This window comes from Homo sapiens, chromosome 10, assembly GCF_000001405.40.
Source record: "Homo sapiens chromosome 10, GRCh38.p14 Primary Assembly".
NCBI lineage: Eukaryota > Metazoa > Chordata > Mammalia > Primates > Hominidae > Homo > Homo sapiens.
Genome location: NC_000010.11, coordinates 116156518 through 116174378, shown reverse-complemented (window position 1 = coordinate 116174378; position 17861 = coordinate 116156518). Strand labels below are relative to the sequence as shown.

At 44.9% G+C, this 17861-nt stretch overlaps 1 protein-coding gene across 12 annotated transcripts in view; it reads left to right on the top strand.

Annotated features, from left to right (window-relative positions):
• The window catches only part of GFRA1 (GDNF family receptor alpha 1), a 217781-nt gene that overhangs the window by 100327 nt on the left and 99593 nt on the right, over positions 1-17861 (top strand). The window lies entirely within an intron of this gene.

Sequence of the window (17861 nt, the reverse complement as noted above, 5' to 3'; positions counted from 1 at the left end):
ATGCAGGGAAAAGACTAGTTGGAAGATTCACAAAATTAGCTCATTTTGTCTGTTAGATTCCACTTAGCACTCTTTTCTGAAATATAGACATATCTGAAGCTGAAAAGTGTTACTTGGTTACATGGCAAATTTATATAGACCAAAAATATACTGGAATCATATTTTAGCTCACAAGGACACAATCACTTTTTGTAGGCTTGCAGAGAAAGGGCAAAGCAATTTTTTTTTTTTTTGAGAAGGCCTAATTTGTTGAAAAGACCAGGGTTGGCAGACCTAGCCACTGACTGACTTTTTTTTTGAAATGGAGTTTCGCTCTTGTTGCCCAGGCTGGAGTGCAATGGTGCGATCTTGGCTCACCACAACCTCTGCCTCCCAGGTTCAAGAGATTCTCCTGCCTCAGCCTCCCAAGTAGCTGGGATTACAGGCATGCACCACCATGCCCGGCTAGTTTTGTATTTTTAGTAGAGACAGGGTTTCTCTATGTTGGTCAGGCTGGTCTCGATCGAACTCCCGACCTTAGGTGATCCGCCCGCCTTGGCCTCTCAAAGTGCTGGGATTACAGGCGTAAGCCACCGCGCCGGGCCAACTGACTTTTTTTAACCGGGGAAAAAAAACCTGTTCGGCCCAACTAAACAGATATATATCAGAAAACTTTCTCCAGTTTGAGTTGGTATTTAAGGCAGCGGTTCTGTTCTGTTTGGTTTTGAATCAGTTTCTAGGCCTCCGTTTAGAATAGAGGAGACTTTCTGAATCCCTTGGGAGTTATAGTCCTATCTTGTGCCCTTAAAAACGATGAATAGTTATTGGAAAGGCATACGGTGAAAGCAATAGGTATACTCTTCATCATATATGGGTTAAAATATAAAGTGTACCATATGCCAGAGGCAATGTTGTGTAGGAGAAATGGCGGAACTAGGAAAATTAGAAGGGGGCATGTTGCCTCAGCCCCCTTGGCAGGTGTGACACTGGACCCTTGGTGCCTCATTGTCTTTATCTGTCAAATGAAAGCCACATCATACCCCCATCAACCCTCCAATCAACACAGCCTTAGGACTGTCATTCAGCCTCTCCCATACTGGGACGGCAGACAGCATGAGCTCAGCCACCAGGAAAAGCAGTGGTCCCACAGCACTGGTCCCCAGGTTCTGAGGTGTGCCCAGTCTCCACGGCTGCTCAGGTGAGGATGAGATGGAATCATCTATGTGGAAGTGCTTTTAAATGTGTATTGATGTAAGAAACTTAACATACAGCAATTTCCAATTTAAAAAAAGAAGTACTTGCTTTCAATACCAGGCACATAGAATATATTCCACAAATGCGTGTGTTATGAGAGGAGAATTTCTGTATCCAGATTACTGTTGTCTCCTTTAAAGCAGACCTCCGCTCGAAGCCCATTCAGGATGATTTCATGTCAGTTTTATATTCTTATACCTCTGGGTGTCTGCAGCAGTCTCGCAAGGGGCTCTTGGCTTCTGACTATGCATTTTCTTAGACCTACCTCCCCATGACTGCCAGAGATGTTCCAAAGTGCAAACTGAGCCAGCGGGTCTGCTCCCACTGTGAGGTGCTGGGGCGTGGGCACCCTCAGGTGGCGACTGCCCCACTCAGTGAGGATAAGGCCCCCACACCTCGGCCTGGACACACAGCCATATATCTGCTGAGTCCTGCTGACCCTCCACTTTCCACTTACACATGCCCGTCCCCCAGCCAGTCGGAGCTACTAGAATTCCCCAGATGTGCCCTGCCTGGCCGCTTCCTGCATTCATCCCGTTCAGCCTAGCCCTCCTTCTCTGAACCCTCTGCCCCCCAACCCATTCTTCCTTCAAGAAGGGACTCAAGTGCCGTTTCCTCTTGGAAGCCTTTGCATCCCCTATTCCCACTGAATCTGGAGTTCCTCCTCATCTCTCATTGACAGCCTTACTATTTGTACAGTAATTTTTAGTCTCTATATCTGCCTTCCTTAATGGACTCTGACCCTATTGAGCGTAGGGTTCCTGGGCCTTCATTGCTCTCCCATACCACTTCAATGGGGAACAGATCATAGGCTCTTGGTAAATATTTCCCGAGTAGGTGGGCAGATGGATGGGTGGGTATACGTCAGCTCCCTTGTCTTACCTCTAATGTCTAGTGTGTCAGTTGTCGTGAGCAAACGGCACAGCAGAGGGATTAGGAATTGTATGTTTTATTAATACTCATAAGTAATCCTGGCTCCTGCTCGTCCTCCAGCAAAACTCCAAAGGCTTTGTAAAGATGATAGAATTGGGAACATTTAACCGGGTCTCATCTTCTGAAGAGTTCTCAGGGCTGAGGGTAAACACCGTGGAAGGACTTGACGTGTATTCTAGGGACAAGGGAAGCATTCAGAATGGAGCTTTGGGGATCTGAGTGATTACAGGACAGGGAAGAAGAAAAACCACCAAGCTGGGCATGCAATGATTGTATCGGGGCTAAACAGAGTTCCTTTGCTGCGCCTCCCTCTGCTGATACCACACTGATACCAGCAGAGTGACCTCTCATGAGGACTCCTCTTTAATTGTGAGCAGGAGTGACTCAGTAGGTAGTAGCCTTCAGAACCTCAGAGACCATGGGAGATGGCAGGTGAAACCGATGACTCCTTGATCTGAGCAGAAGGAAAATTCAAGGAAAGCCGCTGCCAACATGTGCTTCTGTCTCAGCAGCGGCTAACAGTCACCATCATTCCAGCTGTGTATGTGCTGTTTCAGGAAGCCTAATAAATCTGGTGATTTAATTACACGAAATTACTTAATCAGAGAAATTTTATGCTACAAATTATTACTTTAATAAACCAGAGAGAATAAAGAAAAATTTCTTGAATATCTTTGCCAAATCAGTCTAGGCATCCATTTTCAATTTAATAACTAATAGCAGAGGAGATTGAAATAGATGTTATTACAGATTTTTACAAGGCAAAATATATTTAAGCCGGATCAGAAGGTTAATTAAAATTATAGTTGGGTCTTGTCATTACCAAGCTACTCTTTTTCTTTGGTACAGTTGCTCCGAGTTTAGCGTCTGTTTGATAAAAATGCTTAAAATGGAATCCTCATTTAAAAGAGAATTATACTCCGTATTATTTCTGAGCCTGATCTCATGTACCTACGTCGGAAATAAATGCATAATTAACCCTTTTTCATGATAAATTAACATTCATTTTCCTAGGATTAGTCGGAAATAGCATAATCCAGGGCAGGTTTTGCTTTCATTCTAACAGTCCCCTGGGACCTCTAACACTCTTAAAGGATTAGTAAAGCCTGTGATTCATTGTGTGTCTATGTACATGAAAATAGGATGCAGTTCCTGACTGTCAGGGAGAGAGGTTTTCCTAATTGACAGCTTTTATAAGTAAACGTAGAAAGATTAGCCTGCAAATACTGTGAGGGTGACTTTGGAGACCTGGCTGGGATGTGTTAGCAAAAGGATGATGTGTCCTGTGAATATTGAAAATTCCAAATGCATTCTACCAGGATTTTTAGACAGGAGGTTACAGCAGCTGTTGAAGTCAAGGCCCCTGGAGAACAGATAAGCTTTTAGGGGAAGTTCTTTGTCTGGTCTAAACTCTTGGGGTTTTCTTGCTTATCTGAGCCCACTTTTATGAACCAATAGGTTTACATTTACATAAACAGTGTGGGTTATTTTATTTGATTTATTAAGACCGGGTTGAAAAAAGCGGAGGCTTATTGGAGAATTGAATCTGAGCTTCCCTGAGTTTTTAATTCAAAATTCCCAAAGCCTTAATGAATGTGAATAAATTTCCATGAAAAGTCATGGGGTAGGGAGCCTGTATTTTAAATGCTTAGAGGGGAAAATGGAGTCCAAAGAGACTTCTGCTCCATTACTTAGTAACAAATAGGGTACAGGTTTCCTTTGGTTTGGTCCAAAACACAGAAATTTAGAAGAGCAAATTGAAACACCATCTGTTGACTAGGTATGATACCTGGTCATATTACAGGCATTTTACATGAATTATCTCAATAGAGAACTTGAAAGTAAAGAGAAGACATTTGTGAGTAGTGTAACCCAGAGAGAGAATGGAGTTCATTGCCCCACTTCCTTTTCAATGACACACACCTAGTAGATGCTTAAAACATGTTAAGAATTCTCCTTGGATTTGTCCTTTTAGTGGAATTCCTATCAAGACAGGCTCAGCATCACATAGCAGATAACCATGGTGGTGAGTCTCTTCCTGTCCTATACTTCCATGTTGCTCATGGAGGCCTTTGATTAGCAATTGAGACAGGAGAGTTCCCTTTACCCTCTGGTGGGACTTGCAGCAGGGGTGGCTCCTTTGCTCAGCTGCTTCCACGTGCTCAAACCCCTTATGGTGGGTGGTGCATGCATGTGAGTGGGTGCAGGAGCTGGGGCGAGTGCCTTTGGGCACTGGCAGGAACAAACCCCCATACCAGCCCACAGCAATGTCTAGGGGTTGCCAGCAACCTCTGGAGCCCCAGAGGGTGTGTGTTACAATCAGTGCTCTTTTAGTATGTGCTGTCTGTGGATGGCTAAGTGTTACACAGCTCAGTGGAGGGTCACTGTGACAGCTTCTTGCACCCGCACCTGGGTCCTTGTCTAGTGCCCAAGAGGAATGAGGTCACATGGACTTGAAGGATGGTGAATGTGGAGATTTTATTGAGTGGTGGAAGTGGCTTTCAGTGGGATGTGGAGCTGGAAAGGGGATGGAGTGGGAAGATAATCTTCCCTGGAGTTCAGCTGGGGACTGAACTCTTCTCCAACTGACCTTGGCCAAATTCTGTGACCGTAGTCTCTGACATCCAGCTGCCTCTTCTCCTCTTGATGTTTGGACACTTCTTCTCTTCTCTCCTTTTCTGCCACAGCGCTCTGCTCCTCTGCCAGTGGAGCTTTGGATTTTTATGAGCACAGGATATGGGCCATGGTAGGCCAAAAGGCAACATTCGGGCGGGAAAACAGGGATGTGAAGTTTTCGTTTAGGTCCGCAGGTCCAGCTTGAGGGTGGAGCCCTCGCCAGGGACCCCACCATCTTCTACCTAGTATTTCCCTGCCTCCTGTCCATATCAAAATGATTAGGATCAGCTTTTGGGGAAGGTACTTTTTAGTTTATGTTTTAACATTTAAGATCTAGCATAGCCTTTGGAAGGCAAAAAGTGAACTCTAGTCATCAAGTCAGGGGATCTTGATGTTCTCAGGGGCACTGGATGAGTTTGTCAGATTCTTGTCCCATAAAGACAGTGGTCCCTCTTGACAAGTGACCCTGGAGTTAGTCCTGTGTCCTGGAGTTGGAGGCAGCATTCAGGGGTGATGAGGGAAATCAGTGGGAGGTGACAGAGGGGATGGGGCCCAGCCCACTGCCCTTGCTGCAGAGAAACTTCCCAGGGGCAAGGTATACTTAATTAACTGCCCTGTCTGGAACCCATGTCTAAATATCACTAAGGGTTTTGTTTTCAAAGAGAAGCTATTAAAGTTATCTGAAGTACTGAGAAATTGTTTACATAGCAGAGTTCATTGTGGGTTTTATATTTGAAAGAAAATCTGATACGAGTATAATCTGCATGCTGGATGTGGATGGCTTCAAGAAACAGTTGGATCAAATAAAACTAATGATGAATAAAACAACCATAGCAGCAGACAATATATATGAGATATTCAGCAGAGCCCATGGCCTCTGCTGGACAGACGGTGGGAAGGGGAAGCTCTGTGGGGGCCCTAAAAGAATTTCTTGTTAACCCCCCGAGGTTGGCCCTTCCTCTCCACTGGCCATGATCCACCTGAAGGGAACTTGAGCATTTAATTCAACAGACCAGCATGATACTTCCTCCTGTGGCCTGATGAGCAAGTGGAGTGAGCCCAGGCCTGCAGAGTGACACAACAGTAGGTAGACAGTTGCAGAAGGAAATAGCTGACCCAGAAGGACTCTGGGCCAGGGCCACCCAGCATGGGAACTGGTTTACACATGCTATGGAAACTCTGTTTTGATCACATGGGAAACTTCAGGAGCTGATTTTTCCCTGCCTTGCTCAATCCTCTTTTGAACCCTATCTTAATGATAACATGGTAGCGGGAGAGGGCAGCTCTTTCAGAAGGCAAACCCCAGGAAGGCAGACATTTCTGCTTTGTCTGTGTTATTCACTGCCCTATTCCAAGAACCTAGAGCAGTGCCTTGTACTTAGCAGGTCCTCAATAAATGATTGTTGAATGACAATCACACTTGCCTGTCTGACCTAAAAAAAAAAAAAAAAATTCCCTGGTTTTTGAAGGTTTGAACCACTGACTCTTATTTATGTATTATTTATTATTTTAATAGGATACAAGTGGTTTTTGGTTGCATTGATGAATTTTATAGCAGTGAATTCTGAGATTTTAGTGCAGTCATCACGGAAGCAGTGTACACCGTACCCAATATGTTGTCTATATTCCTCACCCTCCCCCCAATCTTCCCCACCAAGTCCCCAAAGTCCATTATATGGACTCTTAACATTTTAAGAATTTCATGAATCAGGACTGGATTTTGCACTTGACATGAAGGCTGACTCTCATGAGTATTTCATAGCAGTGCTTCTTTGAGGATCATGGATGTAAAGCAGCATTCCTCAGGTTGTGTCCTGGTCACTTAGAATGCTTGATTAAAATGCTATCTCCTGGGATCCTCCCTAGACCTGCAACTTGAGAGTATCTAAGGTTGGAGCCCGGGGACCTGTATTTTAAAAGTCAAGCTCTCTGGACTGTTCTGCACGTTAAAACTGAGAGCTTTGGTCTTAGGCTTGTGCCAAATGAGTCTAATGCAGAAACTGGGAAGGAAAAAAAAAAAAGGACTTTGGTTACAATTAATTTTGAAAATGAACTCATTCAGCATTCTGCAGACATTACATGCCAGGCATTGGGCCCAATCCACAGGGATTTTAACAGGATTGAGATAGTCTTCACCCTCCGTAAGCTTAGGATCTGGCCAGAGAGAGATGAAACTAGGGATCGCCATCAAGGAGAAAGTAAGAGGCTTATGCCAGACCACGTGTTAGAGTTGTTCCAAGGAGAAAATACGGAGGGGCAAAGGGAAGGCCTAATGGAGCCCCACCTGCAATGCTGGGTGGGATTTAAATCATTGGCGATGGGAGGATAAGTTTGAATCCTGGGAAGTATTCATTTGGGAAAGACTTTTGGAGCCGTTGGCAAATTAGGAAAACCTTGAAAGTCTGATGTTGGGGAGGAAGTTCTTCTGCTATTTAAAGGTTAAAGAAAATATGGCTTGAGAAGACACAGTTGGATTTGAGATTAAGAAGATTGTGGTGGGCCGGGCACGGTGGCTCACACCTGTAATCCCAGCACTTTGGGAGGCCGAGACGGGCGGATCAGGAGGTCAGGAGATTGAGACCATCCTGGCTAACACGATGAAACCCCATCTCTACTAAAAATACAAAAAATTAGCCGGGTGTGGAGGCGGGCGCCTGTAGTCCCAGCTACTCGGGAGGCTGAGGCAGGAGAATGGCGTGAACCCGGGAGGCGGAGCTTGCAGTGTGCCGAGATCGCACCGCTGCACTCCAGCCTGGGCCACAGAGGGAGACTCCGTCTCAACAAAAAAAAAAAAAAAAAAAAAAAAAAAAAAAAAAGAAGATTGTTGCTATCCTTCAAGGGAGGAAATTCCATGTTTTGGCTGGAATCAGAGTTTAAGGAGTGGGAGGAACTGGCAGGGAAGGAAAGGAGACTGAAGTGCACTGGAGCCTCCTCCCTTCTTGTCTCTAGGGTGTGGTAGAAGACACTTGGCGGTGGGATGGCATTCACAGTAAGACCGAGGGTCAGGGTCACATAGTAGAGGCTGCACGGCCGGGGGAAGGTGTTGTTGGGAAAAGGAGATCCGAATGTGTTTATGCCCAGAAGAAAACTGTGGAGAGAGATGTGTTGAAGATGCAAGAGAGAAGTGAAGTGGTCCCACGGAACGGTTGTAGACCCAGGAGCAGTGGTGTGGTGGATTTAAATAGCCACAAGGTAAATTAGTTCAGCCATTGTGGAAGACAGTGCGGTGACTCCTCAAAGAACTAAAGACAAAAATACCATTTGACTCAACATTCCCACTACTGGGTATGTACCCAAAGGAATATAAATCATTCTCCCATAAAGACACATGCATGTGTATGTTCATTGCAACACTACCCACAATAGCAAAGACATGGGATCAACCCAAATGCCTGTCAAAGATAGACTGGATAAAGAAAATGTTGTACACATATACCATGGAATATTATGCACCCATAAACAAGACTGAGATCATGTCCTTTGAAGGGGCATGGATGGAGCTGGAGGCCATTATCCTTAGCAAACTAATGCAGGAACAGAAAACCAAATACTGCATGTTCTCACTTGTAAGTGGGAGCTAAATGAAAAGAACACATAAACACACAGAGGGGAACAACACACAATGAGACCTTTTAGAGGGTGGAGAGTGAGAAGAGGGAGAAGATCAGAAAAAATAACCAATGGATACTAGGCTTAATACCTGGGTGATGAAATAATCTGTACAGCAAACCCCATGACACAAGTTTATCTGTGTAACAAACATGCACTTGTACCCTTGAACTTAAAAGTAAAAAATAGAATAAAATAAAAATAAATCGCCACAAGGTCCTATTTTCCTCTCCCTTCAAGCCCCTCTCTCTGTCTCTCTCTTTCCCTCATGAGAGAGAATGTGAGTTTCTCTCTTGTGAGTGTGTGTGTGTGTGTGTGTGTGAGAGTGAGAGAAAGAGCACATGAAAGAGAGAGACAGAGACAGAGACACCAAGGCAGAACAACTAGAAACCTCATAAGTACACAGTGAGGGCCAAGGTTTCTTGAGCTTGGAGAGTAACAGCAATTCACCAGGTTGATTCCTGATTGGAAGTGATTTCAGGGACCAAGGAAAATGCTGTTTATGGCCATGATTGGGTAGCTGATCTACATTATCATGTGAGAGAGCAGGAAGTAAGTTTCATGTGAGTTATATCCTGGCCCTGTGCTTGAATAAGGGTTTTTTCCCTTGGGACAGCCTCAGTTTTATAAGGAGAGAAATGGACCCAACATTTCAAACATATGGAAGTGACTTCTTATTATCCACAATAGGGGGAGGATAGTTGAGAGATGGAGACAAAATGTCGCCACACCATCTCCATGTGTCTGCTATTTTGAGCATTCCTGAGCTGTGTTTGGGGACTAGGACGTGTTAAAGGCAGAATGAGACTTAAGATAGAATTGCTGAAGACACTGAGGCTCTGCTTGATTCAAAATTCACCTCAGACTCAGAGATTTCAGGACCCAAAGCTCTTAGGAGCTCCGTGTTTCCAGAGAATACAAAGTCTGAAGAACAATTCTAAAATTCAATAACACGTTATTAAGAACTGTCTGTCCCTTGCAAGGTGGAATGAGAAGGCACAATATTGGAAAGGAGTGCTGGTTACATACTTAAAAAGAACAACAGTTATTATGAAAAACTTGTTTTAAAAATCGTATAAATGGTTTCACAGGTGGAGGACAAAATGCCTGTGATACTTTGCAGTGACCTCCGCAACTGGAAAGAAAATAAGAAAACGAGGGCCGGCTTCAGGGGGATGGCAGGGTCTGGCAGGGCTCAAACTCCGCTAAAGGCAACACTGGATTGCTGCTAAAGTGAAGGAAAGACCTTATTTTTCAAGTGCAAATCATGTGTGACTTTAACAGTAAGAATTCCGTCAAGTAGTCCATAGAATAAATTTGCACACAGTTTAACATAACGCAAGTATATTAAATAGGATCTGGCATTAAAAGACCCAACACTGAATGAGAATCCGAAAATAAATGCCCACGTTCTCTCCAGAAGACCGTTCACCCTGAAGCCTTGGGCATTAATTTAACTGAATGAGGAAGCCACTGGGGCAGCTGCCCGGAGCTTATTTGATTTGTGAATAAACAATGCCTTCATTTCAAATGCTGTTCACTCTTACCCAAACCAAAGCAAGACCAAGAGCACAAAAGAGACTAATTGGTTACATAGTAACTACTGAAAAACAAAACAATATGAGGTTTTTGGGGGTTAGTGTTGGATTGGGTTTTTTTTTTTTTAGGAAAATGCAGAACTTGGCAAGTACTGCTAATTTTTAAGCCCGGTGAATGGTAGGATGCCGCAGGTTATGTCTTGCAGTTAATTCTTACAGAACATTCAAACATCCAGCAATGAGGAGTTCGGGTATGAAGGCCATCCAGTAAAGTCTAGTCTGTGGGCTTGTCAGCTTGAGTTAGCCAGCATTCCATCTGTGGCAAGCAGGGCCTGTGCGACATTGGAGAAGGGCTGAGAAGAGTGGCCGTCCTTTGCTGGTTCCCTTAGGGAGCTCCTGACCTCCTGCTGCCACAGGCCTCTTCGGGAGTGGGAATGGTGTCAGTGCAAAGGAAGCACCAAGGGGTTCGATGGGACCATTTATGAAGCATGTCCAGCAAGGACTTGCTGACATTGCGCAAGATCTGGTGGCATCCCATGTCTAACATCTCCGTGGTGCTGGGACAGACAGATCAAACTCGGGGACACAGACCCTTGGAGGTTCACTCAAGTTAGAACCCCTCAATGAGTGGAGCAATGGGGAGGAAATATGTGGCCAGCACTGGCGGAGAGTGTGACCTTATGGCTCATCCAGATCCCCTGCCTCCGTGGCTCACAAACTTACCGTGTGCATTCCATTCTGAAAAGGGAAGCTGAAGACCAGGCCGTGCGAGAAGGGACTGTGTTCTCTGGGTCTGTGGGCCTGCTGCAGGCCACCCCATGCTGGGGGAGTGACCACAGCACAGCCCGCGGGGATGGTGGCCTTGTGGGAAAGGCGAAGGCATGCTTCCAATGAGCAAATTGTATTTATTCATGAATTTGCATGAATTTCAAGATGCTGCTTGGAGTTTGCACTTAGCAACTGACAGCCCAAGAAGAAATGGGCCTTGAAGGCACCACGGTGATGCTGGAAATCTGAGTCTGTGAATAAATTGTTTCCCAACAACATATTCAATGGGTTGAGAACAAAAAGGCTTGTCTGCAATGTCGAGCTATGCTTTGGCTTCTTGTGTTTCTCGAGTAAGTGCCTGGCATGTGGGCACTTGGTGTGGACAGGAATGAGGAAGAAAATGTTGGCCTGAGCTCCCATGAGTCTTTTTCCTCCCCAAATCATATGTGTTAATGGAGCACGGGGTTATGCCCTACCCATAGATTTTTATGGTATTTTCTTTCCTTAGAGCCAGAGAATAACTAGAGGTGTTTAGTGACCTTCTTTATGAACAGGTTCCTCTTATGGGTCATTACATCGATTTTCCTCATCCAGGCCTGGGGTGATTAAGAGTGAGGCAGGTGGCCTTTCCCACGCTATGGACCAGGGGTTGCCTGCCAGCAGCAGCATGTGACATTAAAATGGTCAGGAGCACATGTGACTGTTACAGAGAATGAGGTGCCATCTTCCCATCCTGTTCTGCATGCAGGTATATGTTCAGACAGGCGACTGGAAGCCCAAATCTGTCCTTGTGACTCAAGTCATATTTCTCATCTGTCAAAGGCAGGCACAACTCTTGCAAGGACTTTGTTCTAAGTCATAGTCCTTTTTTTTTTCTTTCTTTTATACTGAGATATCATCTACATACCATAGAACCCACCCTTTAAAGTGTTTTTTAAGTATATTCATAAGGTTGTGCAACCATCACAACACAAAGTTCTTTGGAACAATGTATAATTGTCTTTTAAAAAGTCTATCCTGTTAGTGGAAAGTTTTCAACACGGATTTTTCGCTGTGAGCTCCTCCATTAAGTACAGTGTCCAAGTGCATGTGTATGTGCACACGCGTCCCTGTGCACTCACATGCTCCAGAGCCTCCGCAGACCAACCTCTTTGGAATGGACTGTGAGGCCTGATCATGGGAGCCTGGCAAGAAGGGACCCCAGAGCCAGTTGAGGGTGGGAAGTCCTGCCAAGGATGCGAGTACCGCTTGGAGAGGTGGTCGGGGAGGCCCCAGTCCTCCAGCCACCCCATGACCACCATTAACATGGCTTTGGCCTGTGGCGAGATACATCCCCTGGACTCTGAGACTAGTTAATGCTCTCGTGGGTCCTTTCGGATCTCTGGTCTCTTTCTCCCTAGACTCTAGTCCCTGACTCTTCTCCAGCTTGACACTGCCTGCTTAGATCCATGATATGGGTCAAATCAGGCCTGGCTCCGCTGCCTCCAGGTCCAACTACTGCTGGTGAACCCAGTCTTGGTGCCGTTTAGATTCTGGGAGAGCTGATGAAACATGATATGGGCTGCATTTGGGAAAATTCCAGCAAACAAAGTCAGGAAAGAGAATGTTGTTCAGAAAGCTTGAGCTTGAATAAGAGCTGGCAAATAGAAAACACTCTGGAAGACTATCCTCTTCTCAGCAAGGGGGTTATTATCTGAGATTGAAGCCTGAAATAATTCTCAATGTTATAAATGGCTGTAAATGGTGCTTCTTGTTTGTACAGGGCCAAGTGGCCCATTTGAACATTGGCCTATAATTTTTTCTTTTGCACAAATGGCAGTAAAATTGTATATAGGTGTATTTGTCTGTTTTCACACGCTAATAAAACATAGCCAAGACTGAGTAATTTATAAAGGAAAGAAGTTTAATGGGCTCACAGTTCCACATGGCTGAGGGAGCCTCACAATCATGGCAGATGAAGGAAGAACAAAGGGACGTCTTCCATGGCGGCAAGCAAGAGAACTTGTGCAGGGGAACTCCCATATATAAAAACCATCATATCTCATGAGACTTACTCACTACCAAGAGAACAGTATGGGGGAAACTGCTCCCATGATTCAATTATCTCCACCTGGCCCCACCCTTGACATTTGGGGGTTATTACAATTCAAGGTGAAATTTGGGTGGGGACACAGACAAACCATATCAATAGGGTATACATTTTCATGCCAAAGTTGGCGTCAACTTCCTTTCTGATGCAAGAAGCTTCCCATGCTCTTTTTATTATGGAAACGCTGCTGCTTCCAAATTGGTTCTTGCAGAACATGGTGGTCCTCATCATAAATGAGAATCTCCATATTTGGGAGTTAGAAACTGAGGATCTTGGAAAAACATAGCACATCAAATACTGTGTGTTGGGGCAGAAGCACTGGGCTGGAGAACTGACCTTCCAGTGACCACACGGAGAAAGTCTAGAGTTTCAGAAAATTGTGGAGCATCTGTTTCCCAGACTGTGCTTCAAGATGCCTGTCCTACCCCTCCTGTCTATCCAGTCACCCTCAAAGATGAAGCCCAGCACCAGGGCTCACCTCTCACCTCCCGGTTGGCATCCCAACTCTGTTTTCTACTCCTGAGTTCTGCCTCCCAGGCTCCTCCTCCAGGTTGAAAGCCATCTGGTCTCTCTGGCTGCAGGAGACCATCTTGCCCAGAATTCTCCTGAGAAAGGAGTATGTCCTGGTTTCTGCTTTTGCATGGATTTCCTTTGAGGAGTTGAGCAGTAAATTAAGATCGTGTAACCCAAGAATTAAGAATTTATTGTTGTTATTGACAGGTGCCCTCCTTTCTAAGTAGTTGAGGAACCCACACTGGCTTGCATAGAATTGGATGTGGCATGTGAGTGGATATTCAGATGTATTCATGGCTGTGTGCCTGGTGGTCCCTGCCACTTGGGGGTTGTCTAAATGCATGATTTGTTAAAGGCAATACATCCTTTTGTGAAACGTATATTGCCCATTAATTGGTCATTGATCTCCAACCCATTTAGGACAGTTATTCTTGCAGATAATTGTATGCCTTTGTCATGTTGTATAACACTGGGTCTTACTTTATTGCTTGTGGATTATGGTTTCATCCCAGGCACTTGAATGATGTCTAATGATTTCTTACTGACATTCATTCAGCAAATATTCCTTGAGCATCTACTGTGAGTGAGATGAAATACCAAGGACGTGAATACACAGAGATGGATAAGTGATGTTTGCTGCCTTCAGGGCATTTTCTGACTGATTGCAGAAACAAGACATATACCGAAATAACTATTATGGGAAAGTGCTAAACACCCTTCTTTTGTCATGTTGGTGGGAATGTAAAATAGTTATAAGAGTTTTGGAGTATAATTTGACAATATCTTTTGAAATTAAAAATATCTTTCCTTTGACTCTGTAGTGCTGTTTCTAGAAATTTAGTGTACAGAAATGTGGCACATAAAGACATAAATTCCAGAATGTTTCCTGCCACATTATTTGTAACAACTAATAATAAAAACCAAAAGACAAAAACCAAAAGGCTTTTATATCCTGCAATAGGAGACTGGGGAATAAATGACAGTTCTCACAATGGATTCGAATGAAGCTGATAGCAGGGATTAGGCAGTTTTATATGTTGGCCAGGAAAAATGTCCCTGATATACTGGTTAGTGAAGAAAAAGTAAATTTCACGTGATTTTGTTTTGGTAAAGAAAAGAACCTCTGTATATTGGAATCCTTATGGTTCAGTTATCAGTGGGAGGTGGGATTAATGACCATTTTATATGATTGATAAGCTGTGGAGTGATAGGTGGTCTTCACGTTTTGTTTTCTGAATTGACCTAAGAGCAGCTCTGGTGGGTGGGAAGACAAGGGAGATGTGCTATCCCTTCAAACCTCTGTGTGTGGTCACCTGTGGCCCACACGCCACAGGGCTTCTGACCTCAGCCTTCCGTGCAGCCGCAGTCTCCCACTTCACTTGTCCATGGTGGGCTGTGAACCTAACAAAAGCAGTGCAGGGTGTAGTGCAAGGTCAGAGTGTTCGTTTCCAGCCAGCCCTCCACATTCACATCCAGACCCAGGGCCCAGGAAACACTGAACCTTACACTTTGAAATGAGGGCCTTGCTGTGGGGACACCCTGACACCAAGCTCTGTGTGTGGCATCAGATCAGTACTTCCCCTGTTCTATGACATGTCCTGTGAAGTAAGAGTGGGGAACACAGCAGACTGCATAGTGTGGCCTGCACGAGGATCCACTACATGGTAGCATATAAAGGCTCTGATAAGTTCTGCAGTGATGAAAAGTGCTCAGCTTTCTTGAAACCAGTATGACCCAGTGACCTCTTTATTCAGATCCAAGGGACACACTTGGGAACTGCTGGGTTAGGGGAGAGATGAGACTAGAACGAGCTGGGCCAGTGTGGGGTCCTGGTGACACTGCCCTCCTCAGAGAGGTAGGGTCAGAAGGTAACTAAAGTGGTCTACTAGGGATCCTGACTTTAGTAACTCTGAAGTCAGGTGAGAAACTGGTTTGTGTTTTGGTCCCTACTCATTGATTTTGGTTCTCAGTTGGATTGTCCATAGTTGAATATAGCCAGGATGCATGTTGGCACTTTTTAAAAAAAATGTGGCTGTATCACGCCTGATGACTTAGAGGATGGTAAAGCACCGTTTCCTTCAAATGCAAAGCGTTTGCTGCGGAGGATGGGATGCCCATGCGTTTGGTGAGAACCAGGGGTCCAGTCTGTGTGCTGTGATTGGGAGGACCATGTGCATGGCTCATAGGGGCTGAGACTGTGTTGAGGCCTCAGCGCTGCTGGCAGAGCTGTCCCTGTGCCCCTGTAAGCTTGCCTTGGCACCCACTGCCTTTGCAGCCAGGATGACCCCCTCTGGTACTGGGCTCCAGCTTTCTGCAGAGCACCTCATTGTTTTGCCCACTGTGAGTACCTCTTGCAGTGGGGAGAATCTCCCGGACTTCCTTGTTTGTGGTGGCCTCCAGCATCCTGCTGAGCAGTGGCTAGACATCACTGTCCCCAGGCTGATCCTGTCCTCCCAGCACTGCTGGCTTTTTCTCTGGAATAATGGTGTCCCTTCCTGTGGTCTGGCCTTACTCCACATTCCACGGCCTTCCCCCTCCTCCTGACCTGCCATGGGAGGCTTGAAGTTTAATTCTAGGTTGCATAGAGCAATCTCTTTGGGCCTGCAGAGTTTTCTCATGAATAAAATGGGGAAGCCACCTTTTCTACCCTTTCCTAAGGTTTTTTCCTGAATCATTCATTCATTCACTCAACAAGTATCTTTTGAGCTAGGCACTATGCCCATCCACAGTGCCAGCCCTCATGGAGTTTACAATCTATTTATAGTTGTATATTTTCTCTGTGTACTTGGTGATCCTGGCAGCAGGGAAACCTTCAATCCTGGGGTGATTCTCTCGCTAAATTGCCTTCTGGGCAGCTTACCAACCAGGAATAATGATTCTGCTTTCCAGCCACATGGCCATTTACTCTTTGCAGAGAACATCTTCCTTTGCTGGTGAGGGGAAGTGATCTGATGGGAGTTCTGCATCAACACAGTTCAGGGACTATTCCTGAGGAAGTAGGAATGACAAGCCGTGTACCACTAGGACTAGATAGTGAGATTAACCCAGAGACCAGGAACCTTCCTTCAAGGAAGGCTTCTGACCCACCAGGCTTAAAGAGTAAGGAATGGAGGACTTTTGTGTGTTCACGTTGCAGTGTTTGTGCAAAGCCAGGGGATCATCAGAGCATCTAAGAGATGCTTCTCTCACCCCATCACCAGCTCTGAGGTTCAGGACAAAAAATTGGACAGTGGCAGTCCATTCGTTCATTCCTTTATTCCTCTGTCAGGCTGTCATTCATTGTATACAGTGCTGGAAATAGGAAGCTTACTAAGGTAGTTCTATAGCAAGGAACTCCCAGTTTCACATTCAATTCATGTGAACAGATACTGTGACAAGTACCACTGACCATGTGATGGTGTTGTGCACAGGAGGAGGGGAGGAGGAGTCTCATGGGAGGAGAGGGTGGATTGGTGAGGATAGGCAGGAGATGCTTCTTTCTTCAAGGATGAATAGGAAATTACTTGGAGATGTTCAAGGCATGGGGACAGCATATGCAGAAACATGAAGGCTTGAATGAACAGAGAGCTCTATCCCTTCTGAGGGGCTGGAAGGCACAGATTCATGGGCATTGTGGTGGGTAGGATGGTGCTTTTAGCTGCCAGTCACCGGACTGCTGGTGTGCTGGGTATGCCCAAGCATTGCCAAGCAGCTGGTTCCACAGGGTGCGATCAGCAGTGTTTCTGCCCCTTCTGGACATCTGATACCCAGATCTAGCAGCTTTTGAGTATTAGGCCCTTAAAAGAAGTCATTAAAATTCTACTTTGGCATAGACATTGAAGACAATTTGATTTCAAGTCAGCCAGCAGCATTTCCTCAATAAATGACTTCCAAATATTCTACTTCCAGACTTCACTGTCCACTCACAAATGGCGCCCAGAGAGCTAATGCCAGAGGAAATGTTTGGATTAACCTTTCCTTTAAATTCTTAATGTTTAAAAGCACCTTTTCACGGAGTTCTTACCTTATTCCTTGTATCTGGGAGAGCAATGCGGGTTGCAGCTGAGTCCATTGTTGTCTGATCATTTGAAGACAGCTCTGTTGCTAGACTCTGCAAAGGAGTTATTTCGGCAGTTGAGAGTAGCTAGTTATAATTAGCTGGCATTGGCAATGTTAAATTTATAAATGAGGGCACCCCCTTGCAATGCGTTGGGGGAGGAGATAATGAAGCCTCCCCCTAGTTTGGAAACACAATGGGTACAGCTAAAATTAAAGAACAAAAGAGAAACAGTGTAAAGCCTGCAATGAAATATCATCTCTAATTGGGTTTTCCTTCCACAATAGCAGAGATTAAATGCAGAGTATCAACTTAACCTTTCCATTTGCTGCTTTTGTCAGCCAAAAACAGATGGTTAACATGATTTATATTTTTGTTCTTATTGTAGATCTTCACCATTTAATTGGAATCAGATTATCAGGCTATTTTGTAAACAACCTGGAATTGAGGTGTTTGTTTTATCACTGAATATGATAAATAAAGAATGAGTGGGGATGGATAACATGTTTGGCTGAACCAGAAACAC